The 27712-nt window shown below is 40.3% G+C and overlaps 2 protein-coding genes across 5 annotated transcripts in view, besides 1 other annotated feature; one reads left to right on the plus strand and one right to left on the minus strand.

Annotated features, from left to right (window-relative positions):
- On the minus strand, positions 369–15739 carry IL5 (interleukin 5). 4 transcript variants are annotated; one of them, XM_011543373.4, is made up of 6 exons: positions 15598–15739; positions 14080–14181; positions 2259–2426; positions 2018–2050; positions 939–1067; positions 369–833 (listed from the first exon to the last, which is right to left on the minus strand). In XM_011543373.4, the coding sequence occupies exons 3-6, from the start codon at positions 2400–2402 to the stop codon at positions 735–737; spliced, it is 405 nt and encodes a 134-aa protein (XP_011541675.1). In that variant the 5' UTR covers positions 2403–2426; positions 14080–14181; positions 15598–15739; the 3' UTR covers positions 369–734. The 4 variants fall into 4 exon arrangements, with proteins under 4 accessions (XP_011541675.1, XP_005272045.1, XP_047273104.1 ...); XM_005271988.5 differs by lacking the exon at positions 14080–14181; XM_047417148.1 differs by lacking the exons at positions 2259–2426; positions 14080–14181.
- Positions 15524–16184: an enhancer, noted in NCBI's record as "H3K27ac hESC enhancer chr5:131892292-131892952 (GRCh37/hg19 assembly coordinates)". NCBI's record gives its function as "activates a minimal SCP1, AML or CMV promoter by ChIP-STARR-seq in naive H9 embryonic stem cells {active_cell/tissue: H9 hESC(naive)}" and the evidence as "EXISTENCE:reporter gene assay evidence [ECO:0000049][PMID:30033119]".
- RAD50 (RAD50 double strand break repair protein) overlaps positions 15901–27712 on the plus strand; it is an 89373-nt gene continuing 77561 nt past the window's right edge. The window contains exons 1-2 of the mRNA NM_005732.4: positions 15901–16377; positions 18208–18291. Of these exons, the coding sequence (NP_005723.2) occupies positions 16249–16377; positions 18208–18291 (213 nt within the window). The 5' untranslated portion in view covers positions 15901–16248. The remainder of the gene's footprint in view (positions 16378–18207; positions 18292–27712) is intronic.

Here is a 27712-nt window from a genome sequence, read left to right on the forward strand (position 1 = left end):
AACCTAGTTACAGGTTCCCACACTGCCCTTCTTCCAGGGGACGCCTTACAACTCATTTTAGTTCTACAATCAGTCTTGGAAAGCACATTCATTCATTTATTCCCTACCATTTACCCTGCACCATCCCAGGTTCTGGATATACTGTAGAGAGAAAACCAGGTTCACCTCCTGCCTGTGTCCCTGCTCCCCACATCCCCACTAAGTCCTGCTAGATCACTTCCACCTCTGGTGTGCCTTGCAACCTTGAGACTTCTCCAGAGAAATGGGGATGCTCAGCCACATGTGCTCAGACCCTTCCTCCAAACTGGGCATGTACTCAATGGACTGTGCTAACTTCAATTGCTAAGACAGAGGCCAGCAGCAAATTGAACAGTTGTCTATTTTTGTTTTATTAGAACACAACATAACATTAAATAAATACTAATTTACCAAATTCTTAACCATTTCATAAATACTATTAAGTTAACAGACATTTTACAGAATGTTAAGTTAAATAAGAAAAAAGTATATCAATTTTGCCTGGAGGAAAATACTTCAATGATTCTGATATCTGAAATATATTTTAAGAATTTTATGCTTTCTGGCAAAGTGTCAGTATGCCTGAAATATTTACTTTCCCTCTGAAGTTAAATTATACTGAAAATTAAGGCCTGACTCTTTCTTGGCCCTCATTCTCACTGCAGTAAAATGTCCTTCTCCTCCAAAATCTTTGGCTGCAACAAACCAGTTTAGTCTCAACTTTCTATTATCCACTCGGTGTTCATTACACCAAGAAACTCTTGCAGGTAGTCTAGGAATTGGTTTACTCTCCGTCTTTCTTCTCCACACTTTTTCTGTGAAAAAAGAAAAATGACAATAGGTATTACAGGAAACTGTCAATTCCATAGAAATAGGCACAGCCAGACAAATATAGCTTCCATTGAATGTGTGTAACTTACTTTTTGGCCGTCAATGTATTTCTTTATTAAGGACAAGTTTTTGAATAGTCTTTCCACAGTACCCCCTTGCACAGTTTGACTCTCCAGTGTGCCTATTCCCTGAAAGATTTCTTCAGTGCACAGTTGGTGCTAAATGAGGAAAATTTTTAAAATGCAAATAATCAAGACAAGGTATAAAAATTTGGTCCATTGTCCATTCTGCAATGTATACATACTTCAAAACATCATATTGTACACAATAAATATATATACTTTTTAATTCATCAATTAAAAAATAATTATTAAAACAATTTTGGTCCACAAAGTTAGGCTTTGTTTTGTGGTATTTACATGAGTTCCCTTCTCCAAAGAGTTTTTTGTTTGTTTTCTAGGCAACAAACCACCACATATTAAGATAAAATTTTCAAAAAGTAGATGAAGCTTATATGATTACTGAGGAGTTTTATAAAGGATATAACTTAATTATGTAACTGGAAAAAAATGTTTTGGAAGTGTAATGCATTATACATTAAACTCATATCAATGTGTTTCTACAGTTCTAGCTGGTAGTTTTATTCTATTTAGACTAATAAAACTATATATTTTACATTTTAATATGACCAGGACATATTCAAATGCATACAACACCATCATATAGTCATAATTATTTAAGTATGCAGAAATTATTAATATAGGGCATTTGTTATATATTTTAATGTCTACTGATCATGGTTCTAAAAATATAATTCTGAGTTGCTAATACTTTCAGAAACACGTTAGAGTGAGAAAGAGTCAGAACTGCACGGAGACTAGCACGCACCTCTCACTCAGTGTGGAATCCTTCTGGAAAGAATCCCTGACACGATGCTCTTTGGGAGGCAAACTAACAACATCACCAAAGAGCCTAATCCACTTGTTTAAAGGATTCTACTTGATAAAAAGTCATTCCTCATATTTATAAGTACAGACATTCACAGCCACCCATATGAAAACAAAATATAGAAAATTAAATAGTTCCAATGATAACTAATGATTTACAGCTTAAAACAGGAAATTTACTTATTCATGCCATCATTTTACTGAATCATAATTTAACTTACATTTTTATGTACAGGAACAGGAATCCTCAGAGTCTGGAGAGGAAAGGAAATACAATCATTTTTACAGCACACCAGCATTCATAACTTTTAACAGAATGTTTGCTGGTGATGTAGTTATCACCCATGTACTAATGTGCTCAGAATCTTATTATTTATAACAGATCTCTATATATAGTAAAGGAACCATCACAAATGATTACCTATGCACTTTACAGACTGTAGGAATCATAAAGAAAATTACCTCATTGGCTATCAGCAGAGTTCGATGAGTAGAAAGCAGTGCCAAGGTCTCTTTCACCAATGCACTTGTGGGAATTTCTGTGGGGATGGCATACACGTAGGCAGCTCCAAGAGCTAGCAAACTCAAATGCAGAAGCATCCTCATGGCTCTGAAACGTTCTGCGTTTGCCTTTGGCAAAGAAAGTGCATAGTACAAGACTGCGTCCCCAGTCAATTTATTGTCTGTCTTTGAGGAAATGAATAATTTCTAACAATCAGATAGAGAATGCCTAATAATGGCATATCGTGAAACTAAATGTTTCCAATGCCTTATATCTTAAAAAATAAATTTACTTTTATCTTTTAATAATAAAAATCCCTGTTTCCCCCCTTTAAAAACATTTTCTATTACGAAGAATCTTTGGGTTAATACATCATTGCCCCACATTTGCATTTCTTAAAATCAGAAAATTAACTTCCTCTTAAAAGATGTGTGCAAAACAAAGTATAAGGTAGACCACTAAACAGAATTTTATGCTAAAATACATAAATATTGGGAATGTTTTTTTCAGATCGGCTATGTTCTACTATGACTGTGGCTAGATTAATCTGTCTTAAAAGAAATTGAAAATACTGGTGGGAAGACAGTGATTGAAATGGAAACTGCCAAGCCTTGGCAGGGTCGAGTTCTGTTCACTGGGGTCTTGATTAGGATCCTTTCTGTTGCCAGTGACTAAAAACCTAACCTAAAGTTGTTGAAGATAAAGAGGGAAGGTATTGGCTCATAGAACCAAACAGTCCAGGAATGGAGGCTCTTTTACATTTTGATGGCTTCAGTGACTCTTCCTTGACTCCATCCTTGGGCACCTTTCCCATTGAGGTCTCAAGATGATGTCCAGACTCCTGGATCTATATGTATTCTGTTCATGAGCAGCAGGAAAAAGCAAGCTGTGCTTTTCTGATTGTTTAATCAAAAGCTTTCAAATTCAGTCTCTTTCTGACAAGGGTCACATGTTCATCCTTGAACTGTGACCAGGGTGTAGTATATACTGATTGGCTCTCCCTGGAGCTAGAGGTGACCCTAATCCTACCTCAACTGCATAGCTTAGAAATGTGGGGTCCCAGTAGTAAGGGGGACACAGATTCTAGGAAGGCAACCAATAAATATCTGTCACAGATACACAATACATGGATGTGTCCTCTCCTTTATGTCCCATAAGGGTGGAGGTGTCCTTTCACACCTTGGGCGGGCCATGAAATTAGGGGAATCAGCCTTTGTTCCTTAGGCTCAGACCTGTAATCCCAGAAAGGTACAAATGAGGCCCCCTCCTAGATCACACACTTCCTTTTTCCCTGGCCTGAACACATATGATGGAGGTGTATGTGGCTCATTGTTTTTAATAGAGTGCTTCAGTGAGCATCCCAGAGTGGCTCTATGTTGCAGCCTAGAAGCCTGACTTCAGGCCTGTCTTGAGCGTCAAGAACAGATGGTACCAAACACAAACTGTTGCCCAGAACAGTTTTCCAAAGCTAGGTGCAGTTGTGTAGGAGAAGTAGAGGCAGCTGGGAGGTAGACACACCTTTCATACATACTCAATCCCAGCTCTGCACTGGAAAGATAAAGACAGTCTTGGATTTCAGTGGCGGCCTTCTTGTACCACGTTTGGTTTTGTTTGTGCTGAAGTTTTGGACTCTTGGTTAGATGTGTCTGATTTGCGCACTTGAGAAATGTTTTCCTTGAGAAATGTTTCCTTGAGACTGCAGAAGTTTGGCTCACTTCAGAAAATCTATCGGGAGTGAGATTTTCGGGAGTAGGAATCACAATAGGCTTGGTCAAAGTGCTCTTAAAATGGTATTCTCAGAAAAGAAGCTGAGTTCTGGCAGGAGCTTTCTCTTCCCAGAGAATATGAGAGCGTTCTCTCTGATTCCCCCTGACACCTTTATGTTACACTGAGGAAGTTAGGGCTTAGGTGAAAGTTTCAGGGGAATTGCCAAATAACTTGTTATTTTAGTACCTTAAATACACAAAGTTCTGAGTGCTTAAATTCTATCATAGGAGGCTGGGCAAGGTGGCTCATGCTTGTAATCCCAGCACTTTGGGAGGCTGAAGCAGAAGGATTGCTTGAGCCCAGGAGTTTGAGACCAGCCCAGGCAACATAGTGAGACTCCATCTCTAGAAAAAATAAAAAATTGGGCTAAACACAGTGGCTCACGCCTGTAATCCCAGCACTTTGGTAAGCCCAGGCAGTGGATCCCTTGAGCCCAGGAGTTCAAGACCAGTGAGTGAAATGGGCAGGGTGTAATACATCAAAGCTGGTGGGGGTCACATGAAACTATAGCATGCATGATCTGTCTAAAGGTGGCAGGTGCTGCTCAGCTCCAGCTGATGGTTGCCAGGTGACACACCTGGGCTCACATTACCCGATCATTCTGTTTTTCAAAGAAGCCTTTATAAAAATTAGCCAGGCGTGGTGGTGTGTGCCTGTAATCCCAGTTACTCGGGAGGCTGAGGCAGGAGAATTGCTTGAACTCAGGAGGCGGAGGTTGCAGTGAGCTGAGGTTGCACCACTGCACTCCAGCCTGCGCAAGAGAGTGAGACTGTCTCAAAACAAACAAACAAACAAAAAAACAAAAAGCACAACAACAACAACAACAACAAAAAAGGAAGGCTGAAATCCTGCTTATTATATATAATCTCTGGATTTTTCAAATGTTGGCAACTGTATAATGTACCATTTTGCAGCCTCTGTTTTACAGCAAAACTGTGGGTTCTTATTGGAAGGCTAGTTATAAAAAATACTTCTTATTCAAAATTGTATTTCTTTTAGAAATGTTTAATTGTGGCAAAATACACATAAAATTTACTATCTTAACCATTTTTTTAAGTGTACAGCTCAGTAGCCTTAAGTACATTCATAATGTTGTGTGACAAATCTCCAGGACTCTTTTCATCTTGCAAAACTGAAACTCTGTACCCATTAAACAACAGCTCCCAACCCCCGCCCCCATTCTCCCAGCACCTTGCAACCACGCTTCTACTTTCTGTCTTTATGAATTTGATGACTTTAGGTACCTGATATACAGTACTTGGCTTTTTGTGACTGGCTTATATCATTTAGCATAATGTCTATTCTCAAGATTCATCCATGTTGTAGCATGTGTCAATTTTCTTCCTTTTTAAGGCTGAATAATATTTCATTGGATGTCTATACCATGTTTTGTTTATCCATGGTCTGTCGATGGACACCAATGTTGCTTCCATCCTTTGGCTATTGTGAATAATGCTGCTATGAACATGGGTGTACAAAATTAAATTTCTTATAAAGTTTTCGTGTCATTAACTTTTCCTCTATAAGTGTGATCTCCCCAACCTGACTGTAAACTGTCTCGGAGTTGGACCTGTAAAATAATGTATTTGAAAGAGCTTTATTGGCCAGGCATGGTGGCTCACACCTGTAATCTCAGCACTTTGGGAGGCTGAGGCGGGCAGATCACGAGGTCAGGAGATCGAGACCATCCTGGCTAACACAGTGAAACCCCATCTCCACTAAAAATACAAAAAAATTAGCTGGGCATGGTGGCCGGCACCTGTAGTCCCAGCTACTCAGGAGGCTGAGGCAGGAGAATGGCGTGAACCTGGGAGGTGGATGTTGCAGTGAGCTGAGATCACGCCACTGCACGCCAGCCTGGGCAACAGAGCGAGACTCCATCTCAAAAAAAAGAAAGAGCTTTATTAATGCAAAACTCCAAATAAAAGTTAATGATTTTAATCTCCTGTGCCCAAGAATTCAAAATAATGTATGTAGCTACTACACCCTCAAGGAGATGGAACACAACCCCCTTTCATTAAGAGTGGGATATACAGAGTGACTTTTTAAAAAAGAGAACTGTATGGAAAGGGGAGAATAAGAGGAATAACTTCACAGTGGAGAAACCTGATCAAACACTACTTCAGCTAGGTGATCCCAGTCAATGGTGGCAGTGAAACATCATGTTAACAGCATGTACCTTTGATTTGATGTGATAAGAAAGGAACTTTATCCCTGTCATCTTCCTCCCCAAAACCAGTAACCTCTGCCTAACCATGACACAAACACTACACATACCCAAATGGAAAGACAAAATGCCTGACCAGTACTCCTTAAAACTGTTAAGGTCATCAAAAACAAGCACAGTCTGAGAAACTGACACAGCCAGAGAGGCCTCTAAGAGACGTGATGACTACATACAATGTGGTATCATGGATGACACTCAGGAACAGAATAAGGACAACGGGCACAACTAAGGGAATTGGAAAAAGCCTGGAGTTTAGTAATGTACCAATATTAGTTCCTTAGTTGTGACAATTGTACCATAGTAATGTTAACAATGGGAAACTGGGTGCAGGGCACACTGGAATGCTCTCTAACAGTCTTGAAACTTCTCTATAAATCTAAAACTACTTAAAATAAAAAGTGTATTAAAAATAATACTGCGGCGAGGCATGATGGGTCAGGTCTGTAACCCCAGCACTTTGGGAGGCTGAGGTGGGTGGATTGGTTGAAGTCAGCAGTTCGAGACCAGCCTGGCCAATATGGTGAAACCCTGTTTCTACTAAAATACAAAAATTAGCTAGGCTTGGTGGCTGGCGCCTGTAATCCCAGCTACTTGGGAGGCTGAGGCAGGAGAATTACTTGAACCCAGGAGGCAGAGGTTGCCGTGAGCTGAGATAGCGCCACTGCACTCTAGCCTGGGTGACAGAGCGAGATTCCATTTCAAATAAATAAATAAATAAATAATAATACTGCACATTGAAAAAGTTAATGATTGTTTTTACCATTATTATTTAAAAGGCTTTGCTCAGGAGGCTGAGGCCAGAGGATCAATCGGGCCCAAGAGTTTAAGACTAGCCTGGGCAACATAGTGAGACCCTGTCTCAAAAAAAAAAAAAAAGCAGAACTTTGAATTCCATGAGTGTAATGCAGTTGGCACCTTTTTATTTCACCAGTAGACTATGAGCTCCTTGAGAATAAGGTTTTTATTGAATCGATCTCTTCATCCTTGAGGACTAGCCTATTGTAGACAGTAAAATAAAGATTTGTTAAATAACTAACTGAATGAACAAGCAGGCACTTACAACAACTTTATCTTTTGTTGTACTCGTTGAGTTAATGTGAATACAGCAGGTCCTTGAATAACTTTGCTTAGTTCCACGTTATTTCATTATACTGTTGATAAGAAAAACAATCGCTTCCCAGCCAAAGCCATTGTCTATGTGGAGTTTGCACAATCTCTCACATCCCAAAGATGTGCACGCGAGGTGAATTGGCATGTCTACACAGTCCCAGTCTGTGAGTGTGTGTGTGTGCGTCTGTGTGTGCGTCTGTGTGCTCTGCAATGGAATGACGCCCTATCCAGGATTGGTGCTCACCTTGTACCTTGAGCTACCGGGATAAACTCCAGCCATCTTCAACCTTCAACTGGAATAGTTGGGTAAGTTATCTTACTTGTTTTTATGAATCTTTCTTAAATGTACATATAGCTCATAATTGTTTCAATGTTTAATATTAGAAGTGTTTGGTCTTTGTTTAGAAGTGTGATGATATTTTTGTGGCCAGAAATATGCCATAGGAATGTAAGCTTTGTTCATATCAATTCACCTACGGTAAAATTGGTTTTGTTATACATCGTTTCCCTTAAAGTCTGTTTCCAAGAACCTATTGATGACATTAAGTGAGGATTACTATACTGTGGAAACTCAAGAAGTCTTTTTCTTTTTTTTGAGACAGAGTCTTGCTCTGTCACCCAGGCTAGAGGGCAGTGGTGCAATCTCGGCTCACTGCAACCTCCGCCTCCCAGGTTCAAGCGATTCTCCTGCCTCAGCTTCCTGAGTAGCTGGGATTACAGGCACCTGCCACCACGCCCGGCTAACTTTTGTATTTTTAGTAGAGACGGGGTTTCACCATCTTGGCCAGGCTGGTCTCAAACTCCTGACCTCGTGATCCGCCCGCCTCGGCCTCCCAAAGTGCTGGGATTACAGGCATGAGCCACCGTGCCCGGCCTCAAGGAGTCTTTTACCTGCAGCTAGGAGCCTAAAGTAACAAACAACAGGAGTTCTTTGGCAGAACTCCTGGGCAAAAGAGAGCAAAGCTTTAAAGTTCAGCTACAGAGACGGAGGCAATGTGAACTACCATTTAGATTTTTTAAAATCCACGTTATTTTAGGGAAATAGAAAGAAATAAACAATTAGTACTTTGATTTTTAAATAATTACTGGTTGGTAATTTTATAATTTAAAAAAAGCACTTTGATTAATATTGAAAAGTTACATTGGTGGGTAACATCCATCCTTTTGCCCTAAAACTTTTATCTCTATTAGTGGGTAACACATTGGCAACATGTCTTTAAAACTGATAACTGTGGTTTTTACTGTGTAGTCCTTAAGGTCAAATGACTTTTCCATGAACTGATTCTAATCAACTGAGCATGATGCCTCGCAATTTTCATGATGACTAAATGTAAATTGATAACATCTCTTTTTCTTCTTGACTCTATTCGAAATTCTATCCTTTCAATCTCCCTTTAATATGATTTTTTAATTGAATAAATAACATTATAGGAAAATAAACACAGAATTTCTTGGTATAGCAACTATCAGTTTTTTGAAATCATCTTCTAAACCTTACCAACACATAGACAGTTTTACAGTTTTAATCAGTGAATATATGCAGTTTGTATTTATCTTTTTTATGAGTATTTCTTTTTCACATATCTATACAATTTCCTACTTATTATTTTAGTGATAACCTGCTATTAGATGAAACTGATGTACCATAGTTTCCATCACCATTTCCCAACTTTTAGGCACTGGGGTTGTTTCTAGCCTTCCACAATTTTAAACAATGCTACTATAAACACCTGTGTAAAATTTTAAAAATTTTCCTTATGCTAATGAACTTGTATAATCATGTTTATAGCTTTGTTACATTTTACCAGATTACCCTCTGAAAATATCCAATGCAGAAAAAAGAAATCTTTTTTTTTTTTTTTTTGAGACAGAGTCTCACTCTGTCGCCAGGCTGGAGTGCAGTGGCACAATCTCAGCTCACTGCAAGCTCCGCCTCCTGGGTTCAAGCGATTCTCCTGCCTCAGCCTCCAGAGAAGCTGGGACTAAAGGCACGCGCCATCATGCCCAGCTAATTTTTGTATTTTTAGTAGAGACGGGGTTTCAACAAGTTGGCCAGGATGGTCTTGATCTGTTGACGTCGTGATCTGCCCATCTCGGCCTCCCAAAGTGCTGGGATTACAGGTGTGAGCCAATGCGCCTGGCCAGAAAAAATAACTCTTATATTTTCACAGGGTTTTACAATTTATAAAGCATTTTCACAAAAATAGCTTTGTTTAATCTTGATATTAGCACCAGGAGATATATTTCTTTCTCTGAAGGTCCATTAGCACCAGGCTTTAAAGGTTTTGCTAATGGAGAGCGAATGAACCCAGAAGGAAGAAGTGACGCAGAAGCAGTGGGAATCAAAGAGTTTGATAAATATGCTGGTAAACCTAAATGAATAATGCTGGTTTAAAAATAACTGATTTCATTTGTTTTGTTTCTTATTTGAAGACAATGAGGAACAAAAATGCTAAATAGTGATAATGTGGAAGGTGGGGGGTGATCTTCTGGCACATTTTACAGTCCTTGTATTGTTCAGAAGGATCCTAATGATATTAACTCTGGACTTCAAAATAGTAATGTGAAAAATTTAAGAGTGCCCAGTAAAAGAATAGAAATAGAATGTGTATTTTCCAAATCAGTAGAGTAAAACAAGGAATAAAGAAAGCTTGGATATTCTACAAAGCAGGAAAGGAGACAAAGAAACAAAGAAAAAGCACAGGAATAAGACATATGCCTAAATTTACCAGCAATCACAGTAATTGAAAACAGATGAAAGTCATTTATTAAAAGGCAAATACTATAAAATTGCATTAGAAATCATCTATCAGCTATTTTCAAGAGATACACAATGCAAAACAACATAGGAAGTTTGGATGCAAAGATACATAGCAGGTCCTAGAATAACTTTGTTATAACATTCACGAGAAAACAATAATTAATTCTTGGCCAGGCTGTGTGGAGTTTGCACATTTCCTAATGTCTGTGTGGGGTTTCTCTGGGTACTCCAGTTTCCTCTCACATCCCAAATATGTGCATGTGAGGTGAATTGGCATGTCTACATAGTCCCAGTCTGCGTGTGTGTGTGTGTGCGTGCATGCATGTGTGTGTGTTCTGTGATGGAATGGCATCCTGTTCAGGGTTGGTGCCCACCTCGCACCCTGAGCTGATGGGAAAAGCTCCAGCCACCTGCAAACTTGAACTGGAATAGTTGGGCAAATACTTATTTTACTTGCTTTTATGAATCTTTCTTAAATGTATCTATTGCTCACATTTGTTTCAATGTTTAATATTGAATAGAAGTGTTTTCATCTTTATTTATAAGTTTGATGATATTTTTATGACCAAAAATATGTTCTACGAACTTGTCTCTTGTTTATATCAACTAGGCTATGATAAAATTGGTTTCACTTCCCTTAAATTGCAATTTCTAAGAACGAATCCATACTAGTCAAAAGAAAGCTCATGTACCAATATTAATATCAGAAAAAAGGGAGAATTATGTTAGAAAGTATTGTAAGAATAAAGAGGTTCTCAGGCTGGGCGCAGCGGCTCAAGCCTGTAATCCCAGCACTTTGGGAGGGTGGTTCATGAGGTCAAGAGATCGAGACCATCCTGGCCAACATAGTGAAACCCCGTCTCTACTAAAAATACAAAAATTAGCTGGGCTTGGTGGTGCACGCCTGTAGTCCCAGCTACTCAGGAGGCTGAGGCAGGAGAATCGCTTGAACCCGGGAGGCAGAGGTTGCAGTGAGCCGAGATTGCGCCACTGCACTCCAGCCTGGCAACAGAGCGAGACTCTGTCTCAAAAACAAAAACAACAACAACAACAACAAAAAACAAAGAATAAAGAAGTTCTCTATTAGGTATAAAACAGTATCTCATAGTAGTTTTATTTTTTATTTCATTAATTTTAGCACCAGTGAAACTAAATATTTTTTGGAAGTAGTAGTTTACTAAGAAGTGGAGACTTCACTGATTTGCCTTTTTATTTTAGGGATTAATCATTTTGATTACAAATCTTTTCCACCCCAATCCTAGAGCTTTTATCTTAGTTTTATAGTTTCCATTGTTACAAAGTTGAAATTTTTTTGTAATGGAACCTGGTTACCTTGGCATGTCCATTTTTTTCCTTCAACTCACTATTTTTTTTCTGAAGTATTTTAAATTACAGACAACATGACACACTATCACTAATACTTCCATATGCATCTCAAAAAAGATCATTTTCTTACATAGCAAAATATTATCACACCAAATACAATGAAATTAACAAGAATTATTATTATTTTTGAGATAGAGTCCTGCTCTGTCACCCAGGCTGGAGTGCAGTGGCGTGATCTTGGCTCACTGCAACCTCTACCTCCCGGGTTCAGCGATTTTCCTGCCTCAGCCTCCTGAGTAGCTAGGACTACAGGTGCATGCCACCAGGCCCGGCTAATTTTTTGCATTTTTAGTAGAGACGGGGTTTCACCGTGTTAGCCAGGATGGTCTCAATCTCCTGGCCTCATGATCCGCCTGCCTCAGAGAATTTTTTTATTATCTAATTTCCAGTCTACATTGAAATTTCCCTACTTATCTCCCAAATTTCCTTCACACATCTATGGCAAAACCAGTTTCCAAACTAGGACCATGCATTCCATTGGGGTGGTATGTATCTCAAATCTCTTAATTTGCAACAAAATGTTTTTTAATAAGTCTTTTAAAATCTACAATAGTCTTTGCTTTAATGATAATGATCTCCTGAGAGCCTGTGCCAGTGTCTTGTAACAGTTTCTAGCTTCTGGATTTGCCTTTTCCAACCCTGTGTTGCTGTTAGCTTAATCCTTGTAATTCCTGTGAACTGAAAGTTACATCTAAAGGTATGATTAGATTCAAGTTCAACTTTTTTCCGTTTTTAAGAAAGCAAAACTGCATAAGAGATAATGTTGGGTACTTCATGCTAAGACCAGAGACAAGCAATATCTTATCTCAGTGATTGCTAATTTCTTATGCTACTTTGGGTCATAAAATTCCCCTTTAAAAGTAGAGGTAATTACATTTCTTGCTTCTTCTTTTATTGCTTCCCGAAATATCTTTCTGAAATTTTATCCACCAGAACTTACAGTGGTAAGTAAAGTAAAGTGTAGATTTGCTTTTTTCTTCCTACTGATATCCAAGTCTCCACAGTATTCATTTAAATGGTCTTGGTGGTGGCCGGGCACGCTGGCTCACGCCTGTAATCCCAGCACTTTGGGAGCCCGAGGCGGGCGGATCGCGAGGTCAGGGGATAGAGACCATCCTGGCTAACACGGTGAAACCCCGTCTCTACTAAAAATACAAAAATTAGCCGGGCGCGGTGGCGGGCGCCTGTAGTCCCAGCTACAGTCCTCAGAGGCTGAGGCAGTAGAATGGCGTGAACCCGGGAGGCGGAGCTTCCAGTGAGCTGAGATCGCGCCACTGCACTCCAACCTGGGCAACAGAGAGAGACTCCGTCTTAAAAAAAAAAAAAAAAAAAAAAAAAGGTCTTGGTGGTTTACACAAATGTTTATATTTGCCAAAACACATGGAATTGTACCCTGGAAAAGGGTGAATTTTACTGTATGTTAATTATGCTTCAATAAATCTGACTTAAAAAATGGTCTTGGCCAGGCGCAGTGGCTCACACCTGTAATCCCAGCACTTTGGGAGGCCGAGGCGGGTGGATCACAAGGTTAGGAGTTCGAGACCAGCTTGACCAACATGGTGAAACCCCGTCTCTACTAAAAATACAAAAAATTAGCCAGGTGTGGTGCCACGTGCCTGTAATCCCAGCTACTCAGGAGGCTGAGGCAGAAGAATCACTTGAACGCGGGAGGTGGAGGTTGCAGTGAGCCAAGATCGCACCATTGCACTCCAGTCTGGGTGACAGAGTGAGACTCCATCTCAAAAAAAAAAAAAAAAAAAAAGTCTCCACTTGAATAGTCAATTATTCAAAGATACACAAATGGCCAATAAACACATGAAATGATGCTACTAATAATTATTGAAATGCAAATCAAAATTACAATGAGGTATCACTTCACACTCATCAGGATGGCTACCATAAAAAAACATAAAATAACAAGTGTTGGCAAGCATATGTAGAAATTGAAACCCTTATGCACTATTGGTGGGAATGTCAAATGGTACAACCACTGTGGAAAACAGTATGGCAGTTCCTCAAATAATTAAAAATTGAATTACTGTATGATCTAATAATTCCACTTCTGGGTATATACCCAAAAGAATTGAAAGCAGGGTCCAGAAGTGACATTTGTACACCAATATATATAGCCACACTATTCACAATAGCTAAAACGTGAAAGTAACCCAAATGTCCATCAATAGATGGATAAGCAAAATGTGATGTGTATTGTAATGAATCTTATTCAACCTTAAAAACGACCTGAATTCTGATATATGCTACAGTGGTCCCCAACCTTTTTGGCACCAGGGACCAGTCTCACGGAAGACAGTTTTTCCACAGACAGGAGTGGGGTGATGGTTTTGGGATGAAACTGTTCGACCTCACATCATCAGGCATTAGATTCTCATAAGGAATGGGCAAGCTAGATCCCTTGCATGGGGCAACCTACATCTTTCTCATGGGCAGTTCAAAATACGGTTTGTGCTCCTATGAGAATCTAATGCCCCCACTGATCTGAGGCCCAGCTCGGGTGGTAATGTTCACTCACCTGCTGCTCACCTCCTACTGTGCCACCAGGTTCCTAACAGGCCAGGTATGCATACTGGTCAGTGACCCAGGGGTTGGGGACTGAGCTGCAACATGGATGAACCTTGAGGACATTATAAGTGAAATGAGCCAGTCACAAAAAGATAAATACTGTATGATTCCACTTATATGAGGTACTTAGTAAAAAATTATAGAGACAGTAAGTAGAATGTTGGTTGTCAGGGTTTGGAGGATGTGGGGAGGAAAGGGTTATTGTTTAATGGGTAGTTTGTTTTGCAAAGTGAAAAGATTTGTAGAGGTTGAAAGGTGGTGACGGTTGTACGTGAGTATACTTAACACCACTGAAATGTACACTTGGTTAAGATAGTAAATTCTTTTTGAGACGGAGTCTCGCTCTGTTGCCCAGGCTGGAGTGCAGTGGTGCGGTCTCGGCTCACTGCAAGCTCCGCCTCCCGGGTTCATGCCATACTCCTGCCTCAGCCTCCTGAGTAGCTGGGACCATCGGCGCCTGCCACCATGCCCGGCTAATTTTTTGTGTTTTCAGTAGAGACGGGGTTTCACCGTGTTAGCCAGGATGGTCTTCATTTCCTGACCTCGTGATCCACCCGTCTCGGCCTCCCAAAGTGCTGGGATTACAGGCGTGAGCCACCGCGCCTGGCCAAGACAGTAAATTTTATGTGTATTTTACAATTTTTAAAATAAAAAAAGGTCTTTCGTCTTTTCCCATTGTTTTATTACATTTGCTTTGCCAAGTAAGACATTCCTATATAATTTTAATGTTTTGTTCCATTAGTTATTTTAACTATTTTGTAATAACTGACACTTTCCGGTTTTTTTTAACCTGGTACAGCAAGAGACTATTTCTCACTGGTCTTCCCCACTTGCATCCTTTGGCACATACATTTATGTATTAGGTTCTGTAAATTATTTGCTTGGGATTGTATGACTGGAGAAACATTTCCTACATTTTTCCAAGGCAGGCAGAGGCAAATTATACCACTACAGTAATTCCAAATTTGTGTTTCATTTAAATGTCCTCCACTATTGTTTCAGTAATTTTTATGTATGTTTCTCTAGGCCCTTAAATGTGATATCCCTCCATTAAGTTTGTTTCCAAGAAAGCAATATTCTCAGTTACTTCTGAGACAGGTAACTTCTCTTTCCCTTATTTTTAAAGATATCTATTGCTGGGAGCACTGATCGGAATGGATTACCTCTACATTCTTCATATTTGCAGACTGCTTTTAGTTTTAGTTCCCAGACTTTTGGTCTTAAAGACGCCTTTACACTAAAAAATTACGGGGGACCTCAAAGAGCGTGTACGTGAGTTATAATTATCAACATTTACTCAATTAGAAATTAAAATTGGTATTTCTAAGCGCAAGAATACACATGCGCACATTCCATTAACCGCCACTGCAATGGCGTCATCACATGTTATGTGATCACTGGAAATTACTACACGAACGTTAGAGAGAGAATGAGAATGAAAAGGAAAATAGTTTTGACACGAACTGACCCCGCTTCCTGGGTCTCCAATCCACCCCACCACTACCCCCATTCCAGGAGTCCCAGGATCAAGCTTTGGGAAGCGCCATCCGTCACAGGTCTTGGTCTCCCCTTCCAAAAGTCAGTGCCTCTCCAGGCTGCCCATCCCCAGCAAAGATCCGGAAGTCCGCTGCCCCTGGCAACAGCACCCAGCACCTAGCCCTCTGCTTCGCCGTACCGCACCCGGAAGTCGGAGCTGCGCACGCACCGCGGGACTCTGATTTCCCGGCGTGCCCCAGGAGAGCGGCGTGGACGCGTGCGGGCCTAGAGGCCCACGTGATCCGCAGGGCGGCCGAGGCAGGAAGCTGTGAGTGCGCGGTTGCGGGGTCGCATTGTGGCTACGGCTTTGCGTCCCCGGCGGGCAGCCCCAGGCTGGTCCCCGCCTCCGCTCTCCCCACCGGCGGGGAAAGCAGCTGGTGTGGGAGGAAAGGCTCCATCCCCCGCCCCCTCTCTCCCGCTGTTGGCTGGCAGGATCTTTTGGCAGTCCTGTGGCCTCGCTCCCCGCCCGGATCCTCCTGACCCTGAGATTCGCGGGTCTCACGTCCCGTGCACGCCTTGCTTCGGCCTCAGTTAAGCCTTTGTGGGCTCCAGGTCCCTGGTGAGATTAGAAACGTTTGCAAACATGTCCCGGATCGAAAAGATGAGCATTCTGGGCGTGCGGAGTTTTGGAATAGAGGACAAAGATAAGCAAATTATCACTTTCTTCAGCCCCCTTACAATTTTGGTTGGACCCAATGGGGCGGGAAAGACGGTAAGTCTTCAGTAGCCGCCTTCAGTTTACAGGTCGCTACATCTTTCGGAGAATAAAATGGGAAGTTGAGAACTCTCCTTAGGAGCAGAAGCGTCCCTAGGGCTCCACAGGTGTAGGCCCTTAAAGTGCCTTAGGGTGTGGCCTGCAGGCTACAGCGACCTTAGGAGTTTGCCTGAAGCAGTCTCGGAAGGATGTCCGGACCTGGCCTGGGGACAAGGTTTACTTAAGAATCCCACGATACCGGGAGCTGTCGCCGCTCACTCAGAGTTCAGTTCCCACTGGATGCCCTTTGGTCTGTATTGATGTTTTTAACGCTGTCTCCTTGCTTTCAAAGCATAGCATTCACTTCCCAGTAGTTGTCCCATACAAGAATTCCTTTAAAAGTTATAAAATGATACATACATGACTAAAGAGTTTCCAAGTATGCCAACTGTCCAGACATAATACATGGAAAATAAATAAATTCAAAATGTAACTGATGTAGTGGGGCTTAACTTGGAAAACTTCTCTTCTTAAAACTCAGTCAAAAATTTAACGTTGGTGCACGACTGACTTTTTTTTTTTTTTAAAGCCGTGGGAATATTTATAAATTTGAATGGAAAGAATAACCAAGAGGCATTCTGGTCAGGAATAGTGGCTTAAGAAAAAGCAAGACGATGTCAGTATAGCAGGGAGAAGAGTCTAAAGGAAGGATTTGTGAAGAGTGTAGAAAGAGAGAAGGTTGAGAATTGAATGCCAAACTTGTTTACTTTTGTTTTTGTAAAAATGTTATTTGTTGAATGCTTGTTATGTACTTAGGATTGTACTAAATACTAGCAGAAGGGAGAGTAGTACTGTATAGTGTTTATGAGGACTGGCTGCCTCAATACAGCTTTTTCGCTTCATTTATTAGTTGTCTGATTGTTTGCGAGTGACCTCACTGCTCTGTGCCTTAGTTTTCTCATTTATAAAATGGAGATTAAAAATAGTTTCTACAGCTGGGCACGGTGGCTCACGCCTGTAATCCCAGCACTTTGGGAGGCCGAGGCGGGTGGATCACCTGAGGTCAGGAGTTCGAGACCAGCCTGGCCAACGTGGCGAAACCCCATCTCTAATAAAAATACAAAAATTAGCCAGGCGTGGTGGCGCATGCCTGTAATCCTAGCTACTGGGGAGGCCGAGGCGGGAGAATCGCTTGAACCGGGGAGGTGGAGGTTGCAGTGAGCCGAGATCACGCCATTGCACTACACCAGCCTGGGTGACAGAGGGAGACTCTCTCCCCCCACAAAAAAAAAAAAAAAAAAAAAAAAGTTTCTACAGGCTGGGCATGGTGGCTGACGACTGTAATCCGAGCCGTTTGGGAGGCTGAGGCTGGGGGATTGCTTGAGCCCAGGAGGTCGAGAGGTCGAGGCTGCAGTAAGCCATGATCATGCAGCTGCACTGCAGCCTGGGCAGCAGAATGAGACCCTGTCTCTTAAACAAAAAGTTCCTACAGCCTGGAGTTAATGTGAGAATTAAATAAATGTATGTAAGAGTGCTTAGTACAATACAGTACTTAACTGTTAGCCATTCTTATTATTAACTTAAATTAGTTTAAAGGGTTTCAGTTGAAAATAATTATTTTTTTCCCAAGTAACAATTCTTCATATTAGGATAACTTCTTAGTTATATAGCATTTCTGTGAACTTACAGCATTAACACTTAATCATATTTTTATTACAGGTTTTATAATGTCAGATTTTATCTTTTATAGTTTCCATGATAAATAATATTTTTGTAATGAATTCATATTTTATGGTAAACTTCTGTGGTTCTCTTATAACGAAATAATGTAATTTTCTATTTCTTTAGACCATCATTGAATGTCTAAAATATATTTGTACTGGAGATTTCCCTCCTGGAACCAAAGGAAATACATTTGTACACGATCCCAAGGTAATGGTGCTAGTACAATTTTGTATTTTTATAATTATAAAAATGATAATAGCTTATTATAGAAAACTTGGCACTGGAAAACTATAAAGAGAAATGAAAGTCAGCCCCACACAGTTTTAGCACCCAGTAGTAACCGTTGTTGACATTTTCATGTGTTTTCCTCCTCCTTTAAATACTGTTTTATATAGCTGATGTCATACTCTTAATTTTGTATTCTGGGTTTTTTTCCCCACTTAACATTATCATGAAGTCCTATGTCATTAAAAAACTATCATCTGGGTGTTTGGTATGTAAGTGTTTCTTTTAATCTTTATACTGCTTTGTATGTCTGAGATATTTTCTACTTAAAGTGCATGAACACTTTAGTAGTTATGTAATTTTCTTACATTAGATTGCTTTCAGTTTTTCATTAAAATGTACCATGATAAGCCAGGCTTGGGGGTGTGTGCCAATACTCCCAGATAGCTCTAGAGGCTGAGATGGGAGGATTGCTTCAGCCCAGGAGTTCAAGGCTAGCCTGGACAATATAGTGAGACCCACTGTCTAGAAAAAAAAGTATCATGATAAAAATCTTTGTGTATGAATCATTGTTTGAATTATGGTGTTTATACTATTCGTATGTGTAAAGGACATAGAATTTGGTCTATAGGTTTGTTTTTGCACATATAGAAGTGAAACAACAATACACACACACACACACACACACACACATATATATATAGTTTATTCGTTTTTAGTGGGGTCATGTGCCTCTCTAGCCGCTCCCTGACCCCAGTTCCACTATGTTTTCGTTACGTATTCTTCCAAGCTTTTTTCTGCTTATAAAACCATGTCTACGTGAGCACATAAATGCATTCACACATACATATTTTAGCACATTAATATAATTTTATACTTCTATTTTATTGTTTTTAATTAGTAAATTGTATTCCATTGAGTTTATATCCTGTAGTTTATTAAATGACCCCCTGTTGATTATTATTTGTTTCTACCTTAGTGTGATTAAAGATAACTCTGTAATTATGAAAATATTTATGAATTTTCCTCTTAGAAATGTAATAGTATTTAGTACATTTACTGAGTCCTCTCCATAATGACTGTTTCCCACCTTCTCTCTCCTTAAATCTACAATCTACTTTCCTTAATTGATGATCTTGCTTTGTACTTTATTGAGAAATAGGAAGAATCAAATGAGAATTCCCTTATTTTCCAATCATCACATCTACGAAACTACTGTACATACGTGCCCATACTGTTTTTTCTTGGATAAATTATTTGTTGTTTTATCTAAACATGAACCAGCTCCTTGGAGGCTAGATCTCATTGATCCCTCTTATCCACCCAAGGATTTTGCCCTTCAGTTTTTCCATCTCTCTCCTGGATCAGCAGTTTCTCTTGATGGATCATTCACATCAGCATATAAACATGCTCTGGTATCTCTAGTCTTCAAACAAAAAACTCTCCCTTTACTCCAATTTACCCTCTAGCCATTACCTTTTCTCTGTTCCAATATATTTCAAAATTCATAAGATTTGTATGTCCTCATTGTCTTTACTTCATTGACTCCCATTTTTCCCTCAATCTACTCCATTCAGGTTTTCTTTTTTTCCTCCACTAAAAGTGCCTTTGTAAGGTCACCAATAATCTCAATGTGCCAGATAGAGTGGTCAGTTTCTAATTCTCATTAACATCTTGTCAGATTTGACACAGTTGGCTATTTCTTTTTTAAAATATATTTCCTTCTTGGCTTTTGTGACACTATAATCTCATAGTTTCCTTCTTTCTCACTGGCTATACTTTAGTCTTTGTTGGGTCTACCTTTGCTTGATTTCTTTTTTTTTATGAGACGGAGTCTTGCACTGTTGCCCAGGCTGGAGTGCAGTGTGGCATGATCTTGGCTTACTGCAACCTCTGTCTCTCAGGTTCAAGCTATTCTTGTGCCTTAGCCTCTTGAGTAGCTGGGATTACGGGTGTGCCACCACACCCAGCTAATTTTTGTATTTTTAGCAGAGACGGGGTTTCATCATGTTGGCCAGGCTGGTCTCAACCTCCTCACCTCAGGTGATCCACCTGCCTCAGTCTCCCAAAGTGCTGGGATTACAGATGTGAGCCACTGCACCCAACCTGCTTGATTTCTAAAAGCCAGTGTGACACAAGAGTTGGCCATCTTTGCATTAACCCTCTTCCCTATCTCTCTTGGATGAGCTTATTCAGTCTAACGGCTTTAAGTACTGGTTATGTGCTGGTAACTACCACATTTATATATTTGACCCTGACTTCTTTCCTTAACTCTAGACATATATGTCTAGCTGTTTGTTTGGATATTTAATGGGCATCTCAAATTTAACATGTTCAAAACAGAACTCTTGATTCCTTGTACCCACTTCCTGCCTACATTCTCAGCTCTGTTACTACCTCAGTACCCCACCCCCGCCAGTTTTGTAAATGATGTCATCATCCCTACATAAGCAATTCTTACCTACCCTTCTAAAATATGTCAGAATTTGTCTACTTCATTCCATCGGCCACTGTGTTCCTGTTCCAAGCCACCATCATATTCCCTTTCAACTATTAGAATCGTCTCCTAACTTATTTTCCTGCCCTCATTCTTGAAGCTCTCTCTTTCTCACAGAGTAATCAGAGTTGTCTTTTAAATATTCATTCAAGAGGGAATGAGTTGTTCAAAATCTGGGAAGAAAACATTTCATTCAGTCTAGTTGCAGAGTCCCTGAGCATGGTTGGTGTGTTCAAGGAATGACAAGGAAGAACAAGGGAAAATGGTAGAAAATAAAGTTAGAAAGATAGGAGAGACTAGATCCTGTAGGTCCTTGGATTCTAGTCTTATTTAAATAGGAATCTGTCTATTGGGAGATTTTGAGCAGGGAAAGGACATGGTCTGATTTATCTTTTAAAGTGCTCAGTCTGGTTGCTGAGAGAAGACTGTCCGTAGGTAGCAAAGATAGGGCAGAGACAAATTAAGAAGATTTTGTGATGATCCAGGTGAGAAATATAGGTGGCTTCATTAAGGTAGTGGTAGAATGGTGAGAAATGTTTGGATTTAGGATGTATTTTGAAGATAGAACCAACAAATTAGCTAATGGTTTGGATAATGGTGTATGAAAGAAGTAAAAGCATCAAGCATAACTCCAAAGTTTTTGGCTTGAACAACTGGATAAAATAGTTTTGTCATTTATTATAATAGGGGCACTATGGAAAAAATATTTGGGTGGATCTGGTTTAAACATGCAAATTAGGGATATGTGTTAAATATCCAAAGGAGATGTCCAGTTGGCAAGCAGAAGTCTGTTCAGGAAAGAGATTAGGACTGGAGAAAGAAAATTAGGAATCATTAGTGTATACAGGTAGTTCCACATAGTTAATTTTTAAAGCCTGATGAGATCAAATAGAGAGTGAATATGGAAAAGATATTCAAGACCTTAACCTAGAGCACTAGAGCCGATGATGCCTTTAGAAATTGGGAAGAGGAGGAGAAGCTAGTAAAAGAGCAATTCGTTAAGTAAGGAAAACTGAGAGAGTGGTGTCTTGGAAGACAAGAGAATAAAGTGTTATAAGGAGGAAATCATCAACTGTGTCAAATATGTTGATAGCTCAAGAAAGAAGAGGAGTGTTTGGATATGTGGAGTCCGTTGTTGCTCTTGACAAAACCAGTTCCAGTAATCAGAGAAAAGATAAAGAAGTGAAACAGAATTATTTTATGAATTTTGTTGTAAGTGGACACAGACATAGGACAGTAGCTGAAGAGGTTAACAGGATAAAGGAAAGTTTTGTTGTTGTTGTTTTATTGTGTTTTTAAAAGTGGGATATACTAGAGCATTTGTAGACTGTTGGGAATGACTCTGGACAGAAACATTGATGCAGGAGAGGGGATAATTACAGAGCACAATTCTTGAGTAGGCAAAAAGAGATAAGATCCATTGCCCAACTGGAGGGGATACCAGGAACATCCACTGTTATCCATTGTAACAGGGATTTAGGCAGATTATATGATTGGAAACTTTAGTGGTGAAAGAATGAGTAAGTTCTCTTTTGATTGCTTTTATATTCTCAAATGAAAAAAGAAATGAAGTTACTGGTTGAGAGTGGCAGAAGGGGTTGATTGAGCCTAGAAAACATAGAATAGTTTTTAACCTCAGTAAGTAAATTGATTAAGGGAGGTGTTCTGGGATTACATGACAGTGTCAGGGGTTTTGTGAAAATTTAAAGAGAGACCAGCCATCATGGTTATGTATGTTTTTTCAGTCTTGTTCAGCCCAAGCACTGAATAAATTGGAAAGTTGCATTTATCCATGGTTGGGGATTTGGTAAATACTATGAAGGTAATGAGAAGCAAGGAATTGAGTACCGATATGGTTTGAATTTGTATCTGCCCAAATCTCATGTCAAATTGTAACCCCCATTGTTGGAGGAGGGGCCTGGTGGGAGGTGATTGAATCATGGAGGTGGATTTCCCCCTTGCAGTTCTTGTGATAGTAAGTTCTCATGAGATCTGATTGTTTAAAAGTGTGTAGCACCTCCCCCTTCACTCTCTTCCTCCTGTTCTGGCCGTGTAAGATGTGCCAGCCTCCTCTTCACCTTCTGCCATGATTGTAAGTTTCCTGAGGCCTCCGCAGTCATGCTTCCTGTACAGCCTGCAGAACCGTGAGCCAATTAAACCTCTTTTCTTTAACCAGTTTCAGGTATTTCTTTGTAGCAGTGAGAAAACAGACTAATGCAGAAAGTTGGTACCGAGAGTAGGGTATTGCTATAAAGATAGCTGAAAATGTGGAAGTGACTTTGGAACTGGGTAATGGGTAGAGGTTGGAACAGTTTGGAGGGCTCAAAAGAAGACAGGAAGATGAGGAAAAGTTTGGAACTTCCTAGAGACTTGTTAAATTATTTTGACCAAAATGCTGACAGTGATATGAATAATGAAGTCTAGGCTGAGGAGGTCTCAGATGGAGATAAGGAGCTTACTGAGAACTGGAGTAAAGGTCACTCTTGCGATGCTTTAGCAAAGAGACTGGCAGCATTGTGCCCCTGCTCTAGGAATCTGTGGAACTTTGAACTTGAAAGAGATGATTTAGAGTATTTGGTGGAAGAAATTTCCAGGCAGCAAAACTTTCAACATGTGGCCTGGCTGCTTCTAGCAGTATATGCTCATATGTGCAAGCAAAGAGATCTGAAACTGGAACTTATATTTAAAAGGGAAGCAGAGCATAAAAGTTTGGAAAATTTGCACCCTGATCATGTGGTAGAAAAGAAAAACCCATTTTCTGGGGAGGAATTCAAGCCGGCTGCAGAAATTTGCATAAGTAAAGAGGAGCAGAATGTTTAATAGCCAAGACACTGGGGAAAATGGCTAGAAGGCATTTCAGAGATCTTCACAGCAGCCCCTCCCATTACAGGACACTACTCCCTGTGTTTCAGCCACTCCAGCTCCAGCCATGGCTAAAAGGGCCCCAGATATATCTTAAGCTGCTGCTCCAGAGGCTGCAAGCTGTAAGCCTTGGCAGCTTCCACATGGTGTTAAGCCTGGGGTTGCGCAGAGAACAAGAGTTGAGGCTTGGGAGCCTCCACCTAGATTTCAGGGGATGTATGGAAACGTCTGGATGTCCAGGCAGAAGTCTGCAGGACTTGTTGCAGGAGGGACCTGGTTGGGGTGATTGGATCATGGGGGTAGATTTCCCCCTTGCTGTTCTCATGATAGTGAGTAAATTCTCATGAGATCTGGTTGTTTAAAAATCTGTCACAATTCCCCCTTTACTCTTTTTCTTCTGCTCCAGCCATGTAAGATGTGCCAGCATCCCCTTTGCCTTCTGCCATGATTGTAAGTTTCCTGAGGTCTCCCCAGTCTTGCTTCCTGTATAGCATGTGGAACTGTGAGCCAATTAAACCTCCTTTCATTATAAGTTACCCAGTTTCAGGTTTTTTTTTTATAGCAGTGCAAGAATGTACTTATACAACCATAATCTTAATATATTGACTTAATCAATCCTCCTGTATGTAATCAATGTCTCATCGTTGCATCAGGGCCCTAGCACCTCATATGGGCTGACTCCATCCCTGTATGCCAGTCTTCCTTATCCTGCGTAGGCTCTTGACTCTTCATTCTGACTCCCTCATGGGATGCTTTTCCATTCTGTATACACTTTGACTTCTGGTGCTAGATCATGTCCTCATTCCCCGCCCTTCTCTGATACCAGGTGGCCTCTTGCAGGGATGCCCACTGTACTCTGACCTGAATCTCCCCAGATCTGTGTCACTGAGAGGGTCACTCTTCTCAGTCTGATACTTTATACCAGGTGGCTTCTTGCAAGAATGCCGTCTCTACTCTATGATCTGACTTCCCCCTAGCCGACTTAACCCTCAGGTGGGCCCCCTTCTCATCATTATCAGGCTCTGAATCCCCACACTATTCCCTGGCGTGGACACTCTGCTTCTGAGCTGGATCCCCCCTATTTGTGGATTCCTCTTTCATCCTGCTGGAACTCTGATACCATTGGACTCTTGAAACTCTGTCTATGCCAAGCTGTTTCCCCATGAGGGTACCCTTCTCAGCCTACTCAAGCTCATTTATTCCACTCTAGGCTGAGTTATAGGTGCCTTAACCTTCAGCTGGCATGAACACGCACCTTCTTCTGCCCCACCTAATGGTTTTACAACTAGATTGTTTGGAGAAAGAAGGGTTTTTCTTATTTTTTATTTTATTCTTTTTGATAGAAATTGTTCTGAAGTATAATACACATTTCTTTGTTTTAATAATTCAATCTAAATTACACTTCACTTTTGAAGTGACTCTTCTTCAATAAGAGTGTCAACAACAATGTAGTGATAGAAATGCTACAAGATAGCCCTTGCTTGAATTCTATTTACTAATTTGATGTTTGCCGGGTAGCTAGGTCCTCGAAAAGTAGATGCCATGGAGAAAGAGTATGTGTATTTGGCTTGCTACTCAGGAACACTGTAAACAAATTAATTTTTTGCTGCATAAATACATAGCTCCTTAGTTCAACTACTGTGGATTAAACCTTCAGCAGAATGCTCTCCTTATGATGAAATGACAGAGTCAAGTCTGGGCTTTCAAAGCTTTATACTGACCTCTGGCCACCTCCTCATTGAAATGTCTGTATCCTAAGAGGCTGTTTCTGAGTAGCCAGTTCAGCGACTTCTTCCTCTTTACCTCCATCCTCAACCCTTGTCCAGGCTGCCTTCCTATCTCTCCTCGATTATTCCCTGCTTCATGTCTTGTCTCAGTTCACTCTGTTCACCCTAAAGACAAAATAATTCTTCTAAAATGCATATCTACTTCATGCAATTCCCCTGGTTCAAACCATTTAGTGCCATCACCTTAAATCCAAAAGCCTTACCAAGTTTAGAAGGCTGTTAATTTCTGAAACATTTTAGGTTGATACTCTTCTTTTCCCTACTTTCTATGCCAAACATTCTGAAATTTCTGTAGTCACGTAGTGACTCAGATCTTCTCATCTGGTTAACTTCTACCCAGATTGGTAGAAGTTTCATTTAAACATTCACTTCCTTTAGACTACCTTCCCTGAGCTGTCCTAGATAGGTTAGATGCTCCTGCTTTGTACTCCCAGATTATCCTGTGCTTATGATGGTGTTTAGCACACCTTGTCTACATTTAACCTATCTTGCATGCTTCAAAGGAAAAAAAGTCTGTCAGTTTGAACCAAAACAACACATGAAACCTACAAAGTGCCTGTAAATATTTGTTGAATGATTAATTGAATTAGTATCAAAGTTAAATTCATGCCAAGAAGTCATTAAAAAGTCAGCAAAGGATCTTTAATGATTTTTTTTTTTTAAAGCAGAATCCAGTACTTGTGATTTGGGTTGCAACAAAATAATGAGTATCACACTTATACTCGCAAGATGAATAACTGTAACACTGGAAAAGTATGTGAAACAACTATTTTCAGGCATTGGACCACAGATAATGCAGGGCTATATTCTTTGAGAAAGGAGAAACATAAAAGGTGATTCTGCATTCATTCCAGCTTTCTACCTGGGAACACTTTGTAAACTTTGGCACATGGAATTGGAATCCAGTAGAGAGCTGGGCAGAATTGGGCATCACTAGGCAGATGAAACAAAGATAGGATTTTGGATTTGCTAAAGTGACTGGAAATTGTAGAGCAGAGTACTGAAGTAGGGTTGTTGTGCAGAGATGGTGTACCAGAAATCTGCATAAGGATCTTTTGAGTCTTTGGCCAAATACTAAGCTATCCATGTATAGGATGAGATTTAATGAGGGCTAGTAGAGAACAACTACCAAGGTGGCAAGTGGGGCTGTGAGTGTTGTATTCTAAAGGTCACACAATGCTGTGAGACATTTGAGTCCTGATGTGCCAGAATGGAGTGACCTTGTGGAACTCTCCAGTGTTCACTTGAGACCTCAGAAAGGCCCACCTAACAAATACTGAAACCAGGTTTTGATAGAATCAAGCTGAGTTGCCAGTAAATTAACTGGCTGCTAGAACAAAACTCAAGACTTTTTAAAGGAAGCCTACTCAGTCGAAGCTCTCAATGTGGCATCTACAATGTGCAGAATATAATTTTAAAAATTAATGGGAATATGCAAAAGAAAATGTGGTCTATACCTGAGAAGGGAAAAGTGAGTAGAAGCAGATCCAGAGATGACAGATTTTGGAATTAGCAGACAAGGATTTTTTTTTAAATTTTTTTTAAATTTTTTTTTTTGAGATGGAGTCTCACTCTGTTTCCCAGGCTGGAGTGCAGTGGCACAATCTCGGCTCACTGCAACCTGTGCCTCCCAGGTTCAGGCAATTTTCCTGCCTCAGCCTCCCGAGTAGCTGGAACTACAGGTGCCCACGACCATGCCCGGCTGATTTTTTATTTTTTTATTTTTTATTTTTAGTAGAGACGGGGTTTCACCATATTAGCCAACCTGGTCTCGAACTCATGACCTTGTGATCCGCCTGCCTCGGCCTCCCAAAGTGCTGGGATTGCAGGCATGAGCCACGACGCCCGACCGGATTTTTTTAAAGCTATGATAGATAAGCTCAAGGACTTAAAGGAAAAGATGGACATAATGTGTGGGAAGACATCTAAACAGAGTAATAAAAACTATAAAAAAAGACCCAAGAAGCTGAATGCATCACAAGCAGCATAAACATAACTATGTTGTACATTACATTCAAATTGTTCAAAACTAAATATAAAATCTTAAAAACAGGTGGAGGAAAAAGTAACACATCATGCAGAGGGAAAGAATAATGAGTATGATTACTTCTTAGGAAAAGCAATCTAAACCTGAAAACAGTGGGACAGCACCTTTAAGGTGCTAGGGAATAAAAGTTAAACTCCTATATCCAGCAAAAATATTCTTTGAAAATTGGAGGTGAAATGGAGGACATTTTCAGATTTAAAACAAAATGGT

Source organism: Homo sapiens, chromosome 5 (assembly GCF_000001405.40).
Source record: "Homo sapiens chromosome 5, GRCh38.p14 Primary Assembly".
Taxonomy (NCBI): Eukaryota; Metazoa; Chordata; class Mammalia; order Primates; family Hominidae; genus Homo; species Homo sapiens.